Here is a 15,459-nt window from a genome sequence, read left to right as displayed (position 1 = left end):
TCTTTCTTTCTTTTTTTTTTTTTTTGAGACAGAGTTTTGCTCTTGTTGCTCAGGCTGGAGTGCAATGGCACGATCTTGGCTCACTGCAACCTCCGCTTCCCAGGTTCAAGCGATTTTCCTGCCTCAGCCTCCCGAGCAGCTGAGACCACAGGCATGCACCACCATGCCTGGCTAATTTTTTTTTTTTTTTTTTTGGTAGAGACAGGGTTTCTCCATGTTGGTCAGGCTGGTCTCAAACTCCTGACCTGTGGTGATCCGCCCGCCTCAGCCTCCCAAAGTGCTGGGATTACAGGCGTGAGCCACCGTGCCCGGCCTGTCTCTTTCTTTTCTCTGTCTCTCTCTCTCCCTCTTCCCCCTGCTCCTAGTCTCTCTCTCTGTCTCCCTCCCTCTCAATCTCTCTCTGCCTATCTCCCTCTCTGTCTCTGCCTCCCTCTCTGCCTCTGTCTTCCTCTCTGCCTCTGTCTCTCTCTCTGCCTCTGTCTCTGTCTCCCTCTATGCTCCATCTCTCTGTCTCCCTCTCAGTCTCTGTCTCTGTCTCCCTCTTTGTCTCTGTCTCCCTCTCTGTCTCTGTCTCTCTGTCTCTGTCTCCATCTCCGCCTCTGTCTCTCTGTCTCCCTCTCTGTCTCTGTCTGTGTCTCCCTCTCTGCTTGTCTCTGCCCCTGTCTCTCTGTCTCCCTCTCTGTCTCTGTCTCTCTGTCTCCCTCTCTGTCTCTGTCTCTTTGTCTCTGCCTCTGTCTCTCTGTCTCCCTCTCCACCTGTCTCTTTGTCTCCCTCTCTGCCTCTGTGTCTGTTTCCCTCTCTGTCTCTGTCGCCCTCTCTGTCTTCGTCTGTTTCCCTCTCTGCCTCTGTCTCTGTCGCCCTCTCTGTCTTCGTCTGTTTCCCTCTCTGCCTCTGTCTCTATGTCTCTATGTCTCTGCGTCTCTGTCTCCCTGTCTCTGTCTCTCTCCATGTCTCTGTCTCTGTCTCCGTCTCCATCTCTGTCTCATGAATTCTCCTGCTCCTCCCCTCCTGAACAATTGCTGCTGCATCTGTTCAGCCCGGAGCCCTCGGGGCCACTGTGCTGGTTCTGTGAGCACCGCCCGCCCGGCTCCCTGCCCACCCTGCCTACAGCCGCCTCATGCTCCAGCGTCCGTATGTGGGGCAGCTTGGACCCAAATCTCCCTGTTAAAGCAGCAGAACTTCATTTGGAGGAAGTCTGACCCCGGTGCCAAGTGTGGGCCGGGCCGCGTGGTCCCCCAGTGCTGAGTGTGGGATGGGACGGGTGTGGGTCAGCTCAGTCCTGTGGGCTGGGCCGCAAGGTTCTGTGGTGTCGAGTGTGGGACGGGATGCGTGGTCCCGCGGTGCCAAGTGTGGGACGGGACGGGTATGAGTCAGCCCAGGCCTGTGGGCTGGGCCGCGTGGTTCTGCGGAGCCAGGAAGGAGCCCAGACCTGAGCCTGGTGTTCGAGGCCCTTTGCGCCGTGCCCCCCAGCGCAGCCCAGCCAGCCACGGAAGCCTCTGCTCCCGACTCAGACCTGAGGAAATGTGCTGGCCACACGGTTACAGCCTCCAAGACGTCCCCGTCCTGATCCCCAGGACCTGCCGCCGTGTCGCCTCTCATGGCAGACGGGACCTGCAGATGGGACTGAGTGATGGACCCAAGACGGAAGAGCTTCCTGGGTGACCTGGAGGCCCAGTGTCCTCACAGGGACCTGCAGATGGGACTGAGTGATGGACCCGAGACGGGAGAGCTTCCTGGGTGACCTGGAGACCCAGTGTCCTCACAGGGCCCTCATGAGAGGAGGCGGGAGGGTGAGAGCCAGAGAGAGACGGGAAGAGCCTGCGCTCTGGCCGTGAAGGGGGAAGAAGGGGCCCCAAGCCAAGGGATGCGGGTGCCTCTGGACACTGGAAAGGCAGGAACTGGGTTTTCCCCTGGAGCCCCCGGGAGGGACCTGCCCTGCCCACCCTTGATGTTACAAGTTCTGCCCTCCAGACTGTGAGAGGATAAGTGTGTGTTTCATTTATATATTTTTTTAATTTTTATTTTTAGAGACAGGGTCTGGCTCTGTTGTTCAGCCTGGAGTGCAGCGGTGCAATCTCGGCTCACTGCAGCCTCCACCTCCTGGGCTCAAGCTCCCACCTCAGCTTCCCCAGTAGCTGGGACCATAAGGACACACCACCACACCCAGATAATTTTTTATGTTTTGTAGAAATGAGGTCTCACTGTGTTGCCTAGGCTGGTCTCAAACTTCTGGGCTCAAGCGATTCTCCTGCCTGAGCCTACCAAAGCATGGGGATTACAGGCGTGAGCCACCATATTCAGCTTGTTGGAGCCATGAGGTTGACAGTAGCTTTTCACGGGAGCGAGGGGAAACGGAGGCACCGTTCAAAGCCATCGTGTGACCTGTGGCATGTGTGCATTCCCTGCAAATGTTTCCTGCTGTTGTATAAACCTGGAGGGATTGGTAGGGAGAACCTGTTCCTGGGCTGGGAGTGAGGGTGAATGTAAAACCCCACAGGCCATAACGAGACAGCTAGTCATGACTTTTTTTTCTGGAGACCGACTCTTACTCTTGCCCAGGCTGGAGTGTAGTGGCGCCATCTTGGGTAACTGCAACCTCTGCCTGGCGGGTTCAAGCGATTCTCCTGCCTCAGCCTACCAAGTAGCTGGGACTACAGGCACCCACCACCACGCCCGGCTAATTTTTATATTTTTAGTAGAGATGGGATTTCGCCATGTTGGCCAGGATGGTCTCGAACTCCTGACCTCAGGTGATCTGCCCGTCTCCCAAAGTGCTGGGATTACAGGCATGAGCCACCGCACCTGGCCTATTGTTTTTTGAGACGGAGTCTCGCTCTGTCACCCAGGCTGGAGTGCAGTGGTGCAATCTCGGCTCACTGCAACCTCTGCCTCCCAAGTGTGAGCCATTCTTCTGCCTCAGCCTCCCGAGTAGCTGGGATTATAGGTGTGCGCCACCACGCCTGGCTAATTTTTGTATTTTTAGTAGAGACGGGGTTTCACCATATTGGCCAGGCTGGTCTCGAACTCCTGACCTCAGGCGATCCGCCTGGTAACTATTGATACACCTGAGCCCTGAGTTTCTTGGCAGCCAGAGCAATAGGAGAAAGCAGATGAGCCGTGGACCCGGGCAGTGCCTGGGGCCAGTGGACTCCGCAGCACTGTTGGTTCTGCTGGAGAGCCTTCACGGCCTGGGGAGGGAGGCCACTGAGGGGCAGATTGATTGTGGGGAGGGAGGTCATTGAGGGGAGGGTTGATCGTGAGGGAGGTCATTGAGGGAGGGTTGATCATGAGGGAGGTCATTGAGTGAGGGTTGATCATGGGGAGGGAGGTCATTGAGTGAGGATTGATCGTGGGGAGGGAGGTCATTGAGGGAGGGTTGATCATGAGGGAGGTCACTGAGTGAGGGTTGATCATGAGGAGGGAGGCCATTGAGGGGAGGGTTGATCGTGAGGGAGGTCATTGAGGGGAGGGTTGATCATGGCTCACCTGGTGGTCTTCACTTCACAGACTCCGAGTAGGGCCACTGTGCCTGGGAGATTCTGCCCCTGGGAATGCAGGAGGTCATGTTTGAGTCAGGACTGGGCACGGTGGCTCACGCCTGTGATCCCAGCACTTTGGGAGGCCAAGGCGGGAGGATTGTTTGAGCCCAGGGGTTTGAGACCAGCCTGCGCAACATAGTGAGACCCTATCTGTATAAAAAATAGAAAAAATTAGTCGGGCATGGTGGTGCAAGCCTGTAGTCCCAGTATTTGGGTCCCATCTATTTGACTGAGGCATGAGGATCGCTTGAGTCTGGGAGTTCCCAGTGGGAGGCCCATTGTGTTTGTCCGTGTGTCCGTGATGGATGCGTGGAGGGCCCCACTGTGTTTGTCCGTGATGGACGCGTGGAGGGGCCCACTGTGTTTGTCCATGAAGGACACGTGGATCCAGCCTGGGCAACATAATGAGACCTCATCTCTATACAAAATTAAAAATTAGATTTACAGGTCAGGCGCAGTGCTCAAGCTTGTAACCCCAGCACTTTGGGGGGCCAAGGCGGGCAGATCACCTGAGCTTAGGAGTTTGAGACCATCCTGGCCAACGTGGCGAAACCCCGTCTCTACTACAAATACAAAAATTAGCTGAGCATGGTGGCGGGCACCTGTAATCCCAGCTACTCAGGAGGCTGAGGCAGGAGAATCACTTGAACTCGGGAAGCAGAGGTTGCAGGGAGCCGAGATTGCGCCACTGCATTCGAGCCTGGGTGACAGAGCAAGACTCTGTCTAAAAAAAAAAAAATTACAAAAAAATTGCAAAAACTAAGAGCTTGTTGGACCGGGGGAGTCAGCAGCCTCTGCGCTTGCCCCCGAAGAGGCAGTTCTCCAGGGTGCCTCTTCTCCGGGGCGCGTGTTCTCCGGGGCGCGTCTTCTCCGGAGTGCCTCTTCTCCGGGGCGCCTCTTCTCCGGGGTGCGTCTTCTCCGGGGTGCGTCTTCTCCAGGGTGTGTCTTCTCCAGGGTGTGTCTTCTCCAGAGTGCCTCTCCGTTGGTTTTGTCTGGGGTTGTCTCCTGACTGGATGGAGGAATCCCTCAGACGGCACCATGTACAGTGCGGCGTGGACCGGAGTGCCTGGCGTTGCGCGTGTTGTGCTGATGCTGGTAACTTTGGCCGCTTGGCGGGGACGGGGTTCCTTCACCATCCATTTCCTGTTTCTCTCAGCCTGGGGGAAGACCCAAGGCTGAGCAGAGGCTGGTCCTGCCCAAGGCGGGGTCAGCAGCCTCTGCCCGTGGGAGCTGCCTGCGGGCATCCCTGCTGCGTCCGTCTGTTTTCCGTGTGCCTTCTCCTGCTGACGGCTGGGTCTGTGTGGGACCCCCACCCCTTCCCCGCTCTCTGCCTGCTCCCTGGCCACCCCCACCCCCACCCCTGGGGCTCACGCTGCGCCAGGATGCCGCTGCTGGCATCCACCGTGGGCTGCGGGGCTCCCGCGGTGTCACGTGTGTGCCTTGCCCGGCCCTCCAGCCACCCTGGCCCGGAGGAAGGGCCCCCCTCACTTCTGCTCAGCCTTCCGTCTCCAGGTTGGCGCGAAGCCATCAGGCTCAATGTCCCTGGTGGGTGATGGCTCAGCCCCGTGTGTCCTGGTGGGGCCCCCTGCCGCGGTGTGCAGGTGAACCGTGGTTCTGTGGACACGTGGCTCTGTGTTGCTGCTGCTTTTTTTTTTTTTTTGAGATGAAATCTCGCTCTGTCGCCCAGGCTGGAGTGCAGTGGCGTGACCTCGGCTCACTGCAACCAACGCCTCCTGGGTTCATGCCATTCTCCCGCCTCAGCCTCCCGAGTAGCTGGGACTACAGGTGCCCACCACCACGCCCAGCTAATTTTTTGTGTTTTTTAGTGGACACGGGGTTTCACCGTGTTAGCCAGGCTGGTCTCAATCTCCTGACCTTGTGATCCACCCACCTCAGCCTCCCAAAGCATTGGGATTACAGGCGTGAGCCACCGCGCCCGGCCTGCATTTCTTCTTTATTTTCTTTCTTTCTTTTCTGTCTCTGTTTTTCTCTAGTTTTTTGTTTTGTTTTGAGATGGAGTTTTGCTTTTGGTGTCTAAGCTGGAGTGCAATGGTGTGATCTATCTCGGCTCATGGCAAACTCTGCCTCCCAGGTTCAAGCGATTCTCCTGTCTCAGCCTCCTGAGTAGCTGGGATTACAGACGCGCACCATATTTATTTATTTTTGAGACAAAGTCTCACTCTGTCTCCCAGGCTGGAGTGCAATGGCACGATCTCAGCTCACTGCAGCCTCTGCTTGCCTGGTTCAAGTGATTCTCCTGCCTCAGCCTCCCGAGTAGCTGGGATTACAGGTGTGCGCCACCGCGCCCAGCTGATTTTTGTATTTTTAGTAGAGACGGGGTTTCACCACGTTGGCCAGGGTGGTCTCAAACTCGTGATCTCAGGTGATCCATCCGCCTCGGCCTCCCAAAGTGTCGGGATTACAGGTGCGAGCCACCACGCCCCGCCCCTTTTCTGTCACGTGAGACTCAATTCACGTGACAGAAAAGTCCCCATTTCTAAGTGAACGATGCTGTGGCTGTTACAAAGTCCAGAGCTGTTCAGCCATCACCATGTAATTCTAATTCCAGATCATTGTCCCCCTAGAGGAGGCCCTGTCCCCGTCAGCTGTCACTCCCCATCCCTCCCCTGCCCCGGCGCCCACGCATCCCCTTCCCGTCTCTGTGGCTTGGCCTGTCCTGCACATTTCATAGAAATGGGATCACACGCTGCATGGCCTCCTGCCTCTGGCGTCTCTCACTGAGTGTGATGTCCTCAAGGTACATCCGAGCTATGGCTGGGTCAGAGCCTGGCTCCTGATTATGGCTGAGCCGTGTTCCGGCACATGAAGGGGCCCCACCTTGTTTGTCCATGATGGACGCATGCAGGACCCACTGTTTTTGTTCATGATGGACGCGTGGAGGACCCACTGTTTTTGTTCATGATAGACGCGTGGAGGTACCAGGTACCACAGTGTCTGTCTGTGATGGACGCGTGGAGGGGCCCACTGTGTCTGTCCATGTGTCCGTGATGGACCTGTGGAGGGCCCCACTGTGTCTGTCTGTGATGGACGCGTGGAGGACCCACTGTGTCTGTCCGTGATGGACGCATGGAGGGCCCCACTGTGTCTGTCCGTGATGGAGGCGTGGAGGACCAACTGTGTCTGTCCGTGATGGAGGCGTGGAGGGCCCCACTGTGTCTGTCCGTGATGGAGGCGTGGAGGACCAACTGTGTCTGTCTGTGATGGAGGCGTGGAGGGCCCCACTGTGTCCGTCTGTGATGGAGGCGTGGAGGGCCCCACTGTGTCTGTCTGTGATGGAGGCGTGGAGGGCCCCACTGTGTCTGTCTGTGTGTCCGTGATGGACGCTTGTGCTGCTTCCACCCGTGGCCGTCGTGAGTTGTGCCGCCGTGAGCACGGGTGCAAACTTCCCAGTGGACACGTTTTCGTTTCTCTTGGGCTCATACCCAGGAGTAGGTATGGGTTGACAGCAGCTGTGAATCGCTGTTAGCAGCGTCCATATGCAGGTCCATGTCTGTGTGTTCCAGGCATGACTGGGTCTGGCTGGGGGGTGTTGGGTTCCTGCTCGAGGATAAGGGGCCCTTGCTGCTGCAGCCCACCCTCTGTGCCCAGAGCCTCCCGTGGGTCCCCTGCTCCAGGCCCAGCCCAGCCTCGCGGCCCCACCCCCAGGCTCTCCGGCACCTGTTTCTGTGTGGGGTGAGTGTCCCCCAGGGCAGCCCCTGGTGCCTCTTCTGGTCTCCTCCCCACCACACCCCAGCCCGAGCCTCCCCCCACCGCACCCCAGCCCGAGCCTCCCCCCAGCCTGAGCCTCCCCCCACTGCACCCCAGCCCGAGCCTCCCCCCACCGCACCCCAGCCCGAGCCTCCCCCCACCGCACCCCAGCCCGAGCCTCCCCCCACCGCACCCCAGCCCGAGCCTCCCCCCACCGCACCCCAGCCCGAGCCTCCCCCCAGCCTGAGCCTCCCCCCACTGCACCCCAGCCCGAGCCTCCCCCCACTGCACCCCAGCCCGAGCCTCCCCCCACCGCACCCCAGCCCGAGCCTCCCCCCACCGCACCCCAGCCCGAGCCTCCCCCCACCGCACCCCAGCCCGAACCTCCCCCCACCGCACCCCAGCCCGAGCCTCCCCCCAGCCTGAGCCTCCCCCCACTGCACCCCAGCCCGAGCCTCCCCCCACCGCACCCCAGCCCGAGCCTCCCCCCACCGCACCCCAGCCCGAGCCTCCCCCCACCGCACCCCAGCCCGAGCCTCCCCCCAGCCTGAGCCTCCCCCCACTGCACCCCAGCCCGAGCCTCCCCCCACTGCACCCCAGCCCGAGCCTCCCCCCACTGCACCCCAGCCCGAGCCTCCCCCCACCGCACCCCAGCCCGAGCCTCCCCCCACCGCACCCCAGCCCGAGCCTCCCCCCACCGCACCCCAGCCCGAACCTCCCCCCACCGCACCCCAGCCCGAGCCTCACCCCCCCAGCCCGAGCCTCCCCCCACTGCACCCCAGCCCGAGCCTCTCCTCCACTGCACCCCAGTGCCAGCCTCCCCCAACCGCACCCCGGCCCGAGCCTCCCCTCACCGCACCCCGGCCCGAGCCTCCCCCCACTGCACCCCGGCCCGAGCCTCCCCCCACCGCACCCCGGCCCGAGCCTCCCCCCACCGCACCCCGGCCCGAGCCTCCCCCCACCGCACCCCGGCCCGAGCCTCACCCCAGCCTGAGCCTCCCCCCACTGTACCCCAGCCCGAGCCTCTCCTCCACTGCACCCCAGTGCCAGCCTCCCCCAACCGCACCCCAGCCCAAGCCTCTCCCCAGCCTGTGCCCCTACACAGGACATTCCCCAGGTCCTGCTCGCCTCACTGCCCCTCGCCCATCCCTTGCCGCCTGTTCCTGGGGTGGGGGTGCTCCTTCACCCTTCCTGACATCACCCAGATCCCTTGCGTCTCTGCTGGGCTCCTGGGGCTCTCGGCACCCACAGCCCATCCCCATTCCCCAGGTGCTGCCCCCTTGCCCACCACCTGTCCTGTGAGGACCTCTCCACCTGCCGGGCATCCATCCCGGGTCCCCATGGGGCTGCAGGGACCATTGGGAACGCAGCTGTCCGGTAACAACACTCTCTGCCTGGCAGCCCGGGGGCTTCTGGGAAGCTCAGGATGAGCTCACGGCTCAGAAAAGCGCTTTGCAAACTCTGGCTGCTTTCAGGCAGGGAGGCAGGCAGCATTGACTGTTCTGCAGATGCGTTTCAGCAGGGGTCAGATGCCTCGGCCCATCCGGCACCACGGAGCCCCCACAGTTACTGGCATTGGGCAAAAAAGAGGGAGAGAGATGAGGGAGCGAAGGAGGGAGAGGGAGAGGGGGATTTCTTACAGGAAGTCTTTGGTTCACACCCAGCCAAGGCCAAGAAGAGCCACCTTCTGTCCCCTGGTCTGTGCTGAGGCCACAGCCCCCCCGGGAGGAGGAGCCTCCGCCCAGGGCCTGGGCAGGTGCAGGAGGGGCCGGCAGAGCCGCCCACAGACAGCCTTAGAGAGGGAGACTCAGCAGGAAGCTGTGCGCCAGGGTTCGGCCCTGCCCGGCTGCAGCACCAGAAGACACTGAGGCGGCGGCCCCAGGGCCCATACCAGGCACCTGGCCGGAACCCTGACAGAAGGGAGCCCAGTTTCCTGGGGAGCCGTGCCAGCCTCCCAGGGCTGCTGTGAGGAAGCAGCACACACAGCTTCAAAGGCCAGGACTCTGTCCCCTCCCAGCCCTGGAGCCTGGAAGTCCAAAGTCAAGGTGCGGACAGGGCCGCGCTCCTTCCGGCCCCTCCAGCATCTGGGGGATCCGGGCATCCCCTGGCTGTGGCCGCAGGGCTGGGATCTCTGCTTCTGTGTCCCGTGGCCTCCTCCCCGGGACTGTGTCTCCTTCGAATGAGGACACCAGGCACAGAACACCCGCTCGGCCAGTGCGGCCTTTTTTTTTTTAACCACTCACATCTGCAAGGACCGGATTCCCAAATAAGGCCACACACACAGCTTCCAGGTGCCAGGACATGATCACACCATTTTGGGGACACAGTTCAGCTCTGCACGGGGCACTCTAGTGACCAGGCCTGCTGAGGGGCCCTTCTCCCAGCCACCAAAGACTGGCAGTGTCTAGGAAGTGCCACCTGTGCCCCACGACCACCTGGAAGCCTCTTCTGTCTGCCCCCCAGCCCCCTCCAGGAGGAGCCCCTCCCATCCCCGTAGCCTGTTTCCCTCCCTGTAATGCAGGGCAGGGTTCCTGTGAGGGCTGAGGCAGCGGGCATTCAGCCAGGCTTACACGGAGCCCTCGGTCAGCGTTGCTGCGGGACTGGTCAGTGAGGGGTGCACCCTGGACAGAGGCGGAGGGAGAGACCGGGCCACGGGAGCCCAGGACTGGGCGCGGGGCGCCGGAGGTGGGTGGGGTAGTGCCCAGCAGGTCCCTAGGCGGCGCACCCCTATCCTCAGTCTGACCTGCTCCAGGGACCCTGGGCTGTGCTGTCACATTGGGGCCTGGGGAGCAAGTCGGAGTCTGTGCTTGTTCTTTCTGTTTCGTTGCTTTCCAGGTCTTTTAAAAACTGAGACAAAATTCACATACCACAAAATCCACTTTATTTATTTGAGACAGTATTTTGCTCTGTTGCCCAGGCTGGAGTGCAGTGGTGTGATCATAACTTACTGCAGCTTCCACCTCTCTAGCTCAAGTGATTCTCCTGCCATGGCCTCCTGAGCAGCTGGGACCACAGGTGCCCGCCACCATGCGCAGCTGGTTTTTGTATTTTTTGTGGAGATGGGATCTCACTATGTTGCCCAGGCTGGTCTTGAACTTCCTGGGCTCAAGCTGTTTGCCCACCTCAGCTTCCCAAAGTGCCGGGATGGCAGGTGTGAGCCACTACGCTCGGCCAAATCCACCTTTTTTTTTTTTTTTTTTTTTTTTGAGACAGAGTCTTGCTCTGTTGCCCAGGCTAGAGTGCAGTGGCACGATTTCAGCTCACTGTAACCTCTGCCTCCCGGGTTCAAGCAATTCTCCTGCCTCAGCCTCCCGAGTAGCTGGGATTGCAGGTACCCACCACCACACCTGGCTAATTTTTGTATTTTTAGTAGAGACGGGGTTTCACCATGCTGGCCAGGCTGGTCTTGAACTCCTGACCTCGTGATCCACCCACCTCGGCCTCCCAAAGTGCTGGGATTACAGGCGTAAGCCACCGTGCCGGGCCCAAATCCACACTTTAAAAAAGTATATTCACAGAGTTGTGCAACCACCACCTCTGTCTAGTTCCAGAACATTCCATCATCCCACAGGAAGCCCCGTTCCCATCAGCTGTCACTCCCCAGCCCATCCCCACCCCCTGATAACCTGAATGCTTTTCCTGTCTGTGTGGATTCCTGTTCAGGACAGGACATTTCATAGAAATGGCCTCACACACTGCGTGGCCTTCTGTGTTTGGCGTCTTTCACTGAGTGTGAGGTCCTCAAGGTGCATCCGTGCTGTGGCTTGGGTCAGAGCCTTGCTCCTTTTCATGGCTGGGTCGTGTTCCAGTGTGTGGACGGCCTCACTGTGCTGGCCCTGTTCCTCCGTGGTGACTGCGCTGCAGGAGCCAGGCTGTCATGAGCTGTGGGTCCACCTGGGAGCTGAGGGTCCACCCGGGAGCTGTGGGTCCACCCGTGAGCTGTAGGTCCTGTGAGCTGTGAGTCCACCCGTGAGCTGTGGGTCCAGGTGCCTATGAGCTGTGAGTCCACCCGTGAGCTGTAGGTCCTGTGAGCTGTGGGTCCACCTGTGAGCTGTGAGTCCACCCGTGAGCTGTGAGTCCACCCGTGAGCTGTGAGTCCACCCGTGAGCTGTGGGTCCTATGGGCTGTGGGTCCACCCATGAGCTGTGGGTCCAGGCGCCTATGAGCTGTGGGTCCACCCATGAGCTATGGGTCCTGTGAGCTGTGAGTCCACCCTTGAGCTGTGGGTCCTGTGGGCTGTGGGTCCACTCCTGAGCTGTAGGTTCAGGCTTTTGTGAGCTGTGGGTCCTCCTGATGGCACGTGGGAGTGCAGCTGCTGGGTTGTTACTCCCCATTCGCCTCTTTTGAGGAGCTGCAGGATGGTTCCCAGGCCACTGCCCCGCGTCCTCAGCAGCGCTTGTGGTTGTGGGTTTTTTGCGTGGAGCTGGTGTGGAGCTGTCTCTGGGAGTGGCTGTGATTGGCTGCTGGGTTGAGCGGTGGCTGTGATTGGCTACTGGGTTGAGCGGTGGCTGTGATTGGCTGCTAGGTTGAGCGGTGGCTGTGATTGGCTGCCGGATTGAGCGGCTCCGTGGGTTTCTTCCCCATTGGTTGTTTTCCATTGGCGGGCGGGGTGCCTGGCAGGCGGGCCCCTCGCCCCAGCGGCACGGACCCGTGTTGTCGCCCAGCCTCCAGGAGGTGATGGGTCGTGGCAAGGGGTGTGGGCGACAGTCTGCACCAGCCTCCGCTGCTGCGGTGCCTGGTCGCGGGGCCCCAGTGGGGCTGGCACAGGGCCTCAGGGTCTAGAACAGGGTGAGCCCGAGGGGGCGGAGTGCACAGGGTTTGAGGGCCCCCTGGTCCCACTCTCCCCTCAGAGCCCTGGCGGGAGTCTTACAAGCCCAGAACTGTCCCGAGCCCTCCGGCCCAGCCACGGGCTCCCCTGGCCTCTCGGGGCGGTTTCCTTCTTTCCCAGGGCCCCTGGCCACAGGGCCGGGCCCTTCCTCCCCTCACAGAGGAGGAGCCGTGGCCACCTGCGCGGTCTCGGCCGCGGTCTCGTGGGCAATGCGGCCTCTGCCCCGTCAGTCGCTGAGTACAGGCAGATGGGGCCCGTCCTCTCCACAGCCCGGCCGTCCTCCCACCCCCTCTGGCCCTGGGGCCTCCCCAGCTCCTCCAAGGACACCGAGAATGACCGCCTGTGGCCCAATGTGAGGTCCCATCAGGTGTCTGCCCCGCGGTGTCTAGGCCCCTGTGATGCGCCAGGGTCCTCACAGTGCGGGCAAGAGTGTGGCCGCGGGCGGGCTCGCGGCCCGGGGTTGCCCCAGCAAGTGCATCATTGACACTTGGTTTTCTACCAAAGCGAGAACGTTCTTTTCCCAGGACGCTACCACTTGTTCCTGCCCAGGGGGCCGAGGCCGGGTCTGGCCAGAGCCTGGAGAGGAGGGGCCCAGGCTCAGCTCTCCCTCCGCCAGCCCCAGATCAAGGGAGGCCACGGGGCCCGCTGAACCCCCTGGGCACGGACAGCAGGGAAAGAGCAGGGAGGGGACTTTGCTTCGGCGGCAGGGGCTTCTCGGGGACCTCAGCCTGCAGGGGTGGGGTGGGGAGAGCCCCAGGGGGGCGCAGCAGGGCCTGAGGTGCGCTTGGCATGCGTGGGGTGCTGGGTGAAGGGAGGCGGTCTTGGCCGCAGTTTCCCTGCCTGTGGTTTGGGGGCACCAGGAACAGCAGCTGGTCCCCGTGGAACGGAACCCAGCTCCCTGCAGTCTGGGGAGACCGAGGCCCATGCCCACCTGGGCATTCTGCACGTCCGCCGGGTGCCCCAAAGGGGGCTGGTCCTGCGGCGGGGCACGGGTGGGGTTGCGTGTTGACAGCGCCTGTGGGAGATCCGCCCCGTACAGTAATTCTCCTCGCACTGCCGGTAATTGCCCTGACTTACGGGGCCGGCATCATTTCCTGAAAGTCAGCCCCGGCCTTAGAGGAAGTAGGCGCCGGCGGCGGTGACTAAACCGACATGCAAATGCAGCCGGGCGGAGAGCCGCCCCCGTCCGCCCCGGCCGACCCAATGCTGGGGCTGCTGCCGCGGTCATGAGGGAGCCGCTCCCGGGCAGCGCTTCCTGGGGGACCCCTGGCCCCCCGAGCGCCGGGACCATGTCCCAGCTGCAGCTGTGGCTGCAGTTTGAGGCTCTGAACAAGGTAACACTCCCTTCCCGGGGCGGGCGAGGCCCTCGGGGGCAGGGGTCTGGGAGGTGGGACCCCATTCAGGACGGCCGGGCCCCCTGCCGGAGCAGCCGGCATCTCATCCTAGAGTCCGAGGCCGCCAGGATCTAAAAAAATCCCCACCCCGCCCCGTCCGTCTCTTCTGGCAGTGAGAGGGAATCTGCCGGAAGGTTCCGAGGCAGAGATTTAAGACTTCGGGCTGGGAGCGGCGCCCTGTGCGTAGGCTGGGGGACCCGAGCGGAGTGGGGGGGTCGGGCTCAGCCCTGCCCGGACGGGGGCCCTCAGTGACAGTGGCAGTGGCTGTCGGGAGGGCTGCGTCCCCCTCCTTCTGCCCCTGGGGTAGGACCCAGAGCTGTGGCTTTCCTCTGGAGAAGCCTCAGGTGGAGGGGCTCTGGGTGTCTTATGGGGCTCTTGTAGGGAGCGGAGGCTGGGTGGGCCTGGTCAGGGCTGGCTCTGGTGGCGCAGGCCGGCAAATCCCTGTGGCTCTGTGGCTCCCCATGGGTCCTGGAGCACAGGGCAGCGGCAGCACATCAGGTCTGGAGTCAGTTCTGGAGTCAGGTCTGGAGTTGGCTGCCCAGGGCAGGAGGAGCTGTGTCTGCTGCTTTTGAAGCGGGCAGAGCCAGGTCCTCCCAGCCAGGTCCTCCCAGCTCCCCACCTCAGCCCAGGGCTCCTGAAATGCTACAGAGACAAGAACCACAGCGGGCAGCCCCGGCCCTCCCTGGGGCCCCAGAACTGGGGGCTGGCGGGGAGGGATGCAAGTGTCACCCTTGAGGGGCCTTGGTGCTTGCCCTCACTACAGACTGCAGAGGGGCCCGGTTCCCTGGGGAGGCACTGGGTCCGCTGAGCTGAGGCTGGAGGGTGGGTGGGTCATGTGGTGAAGGATGCAGGAGCCTGGGCCGGCCTGGAGGGGCTGTGGAGGGACACACAGGCGCGGGTGGGACTTAGGCTGTCTCTGAGGTGAGCTGGTGGCTGCTAGGAGTCAAATCCAGATGTGGGCAGAGGACGGAGCCACTGTGGGGGGAGCTGGCCTGGCTCTGTTCAGCTTCCCACATGTGAACAGGGCCAGCCCTGGGAACCCCGTCTCCCTCTGTCCCTAATCGCTGAGGGCACCTGCTAGAAGTGAAGGCTTCGAGGGCTCATGCACCTGGTGGGGTGTCCTGTGCTGGGAAGGACCGGACGGGGAGCAGGGCGGGGCCTCGAGGCTGCGTTCTTGAAGCCTGAAAGCTGCAAGCACTCCCTCATTATTAGACTTTCACTTTTATTTATTTGTTTTTGTGACAGGGACTTGCTCTGTCACCCAGGCTGGTGTGCAGTGGCACGATCTCGGCTCCCTGCAACCTCCACCAACTGGGTTGAAGCAATCCTCCCACCTCAGCCTCCTGAGTAGCTGGGACTGCAGGCACATGCTGCCATGCCCAGCTAATTTTTAAACGTTCTGTAGACATGGAGTCTTGCTGTGTTGCCCAGGCTGGTCTTGAACTCCTGGGCTCAAGTGATTCTTTCACCTTGGCTCTAAAACAGTAGGATTACAGGCATGAGCCACTACGCCCTGCTTGACTTTTAACTTTTTTTTTGAGATAGGGTCTCGCTCTGTCTCCCAGGCTGGCGTGCAGTGGCGCAATTATAGCTCACTGCAGCCTCGACCACCTGGGCTCAACGGATCCTCCTGCCTCAGCCTCCTGAGTAGCAGACGTGAGCTCCCCCCTGCCCGACTTGACTTTAACTTTTCAAACTGTTTTAGAATGACAGAAAAGCTGCAGGGACAGTGCAGAGAGTCCCCGTGCACCCACTCCCGGGCTCCCTGCTGTTCTATCTCCCGTCTGTGGCTGTCACGGCTGATGAACCAACATCCGTACGCCACCGTTAACTCCTGAGGCCCACGCTTTGCTTGGATTGCCTCAGTTTCCCCCATGTCCTTTCCTGCCCAGGACCCCACGTGGTGTTTAGGCGTCTCCTCAGGCCCCTCTGGGCTGTGATGGTTTCTCAGAGGCCCGTGTTTCAGATGCGTTGGGCGGTCCTGGGGCTG

At 61.3% G+C, this 15,459-nt stretch overlaps 1 protein-coding gene across 5 annotated transcripts in view, besides 4 other annotated features; it reads left to right on the top strand.

Annotated features, from left to right (window-relative positions):
• The window catches only part of SBNO2 (strawberry notch homolog 2), a 66,631-nt gene that overhangs the window by 28,770 nt on the left and 22,402 nt on the right, over nucleotides 1-15,459 (top strand). Inside the window, exon 1 of one of the 5 annotated variants that reach the window (XM_047438466.1) lies at nucleotides 11,953-12,035. The exons of 3 other annotated variants lie outside the window; for them this stretch is intronic. Coding sequence is in view for 1 of the 2 variants with exons in the window: in NM_001100122.2 (NP_001093592.1) it covers nucleotides 13,302-13,409 (108 nt within the window). In the remaining variant the exon portion in view is untranslated. Of the gene's footprint in view, nucleotides 1-11,952; nucleotides 12,036-13,277; nucleotides 13,410-15,459 lie in introns of those variants that run through there. One more of the 5 variants, NM_001100122.2, reaches the window with a different exon arrangement.
• Nucleotides 10,792-11,291: an enhancer, noted in NCBI's record as "H3K4me1 hESC enhancer chr19:1134207-1134706 (GRCh37/hg19 assembly coordinates)". NCBI's record gives its function as "activates a minimal SCP1, AML or CMV promoter by ChIP-STARR-seq in naive H9 embryonic stem cells {active_cell/tissue: H9 hESC(naive)}" and the evidence as "EXISTENCE:reporter gene assay evidence [ECO:0000049][PMID:30033119]".
• Nucleotides 11,292-11,793: an enhancer, noted in NCBI's record as "H3K4me1 hESC enhancer chr19:1133705-1134206 (GRCh37/hg19 assembly coordinates)". NCBI's record gives its function as "activates a minimal SCP1, AML or CMV promoter by ChIP-STARR-seq in naive and primed H9 embryonic stem cells {active_cell/tissue: H9 hESC(naive and primed)}" and the evidence as "EXISTENCE:reporter gene assay evidence [ECO:0000049][PMID:30033119]".
• Nucleotides 11,812-12,475: an enhancer, noted in NCBI's record as "H3K27ac-H3K4me1 hESC enhancer chr19:1133023-1133686 (GRCh37/hg19 assembly coordinates)". NCBI's record gives its function as "activates a minimal SCP1, AML or CMV promoter by ChIP-STARR-seq in naive and primed H9 embryonic stem cells {active_cell/tissue: H9 hESC(naive and primed)}" and the evidence as "EXISTENCE:reporter gene assay evidence [ECO:0000049][PMID:30033119]".
• Nucleotides 13,804-14,468: an enhancer, noted in NCBI's record as "H3K27ac-H3K4me1 hESC enhancer chr19:1131030-1131694 (GRCh37/hg19 assembly coordinates)". NCBI's record gives its function as "activates a minimal SCP1, AML or CMV promoter by ChIP-STARR-seq in naive and primed H9 embryonic stem cells {active_cell/tissue: H9 hESC(naive and primed)}" and the evidence as "EXISTENCE:reporter gene assay evidence [ECO:0000049][PMID:30033119]".

This window comes from Homo sapiens, chromosome 19, assembly GCF_000001405.40.
Source record: "Homo sapiens chromosome 19, GRCh38.p14 Primary Assembly".
Lineage (NCBI taxonomy): Eukaryota > Metazoa > Chordata > Mammalia > Primates > Hominidae > Homo > Homo sapiens.
The sequence above is the reverse complement of the archived record's forward strand: the minus strand, read 5'-3'. Positions and strand labels throughout refer to the sequence as shown.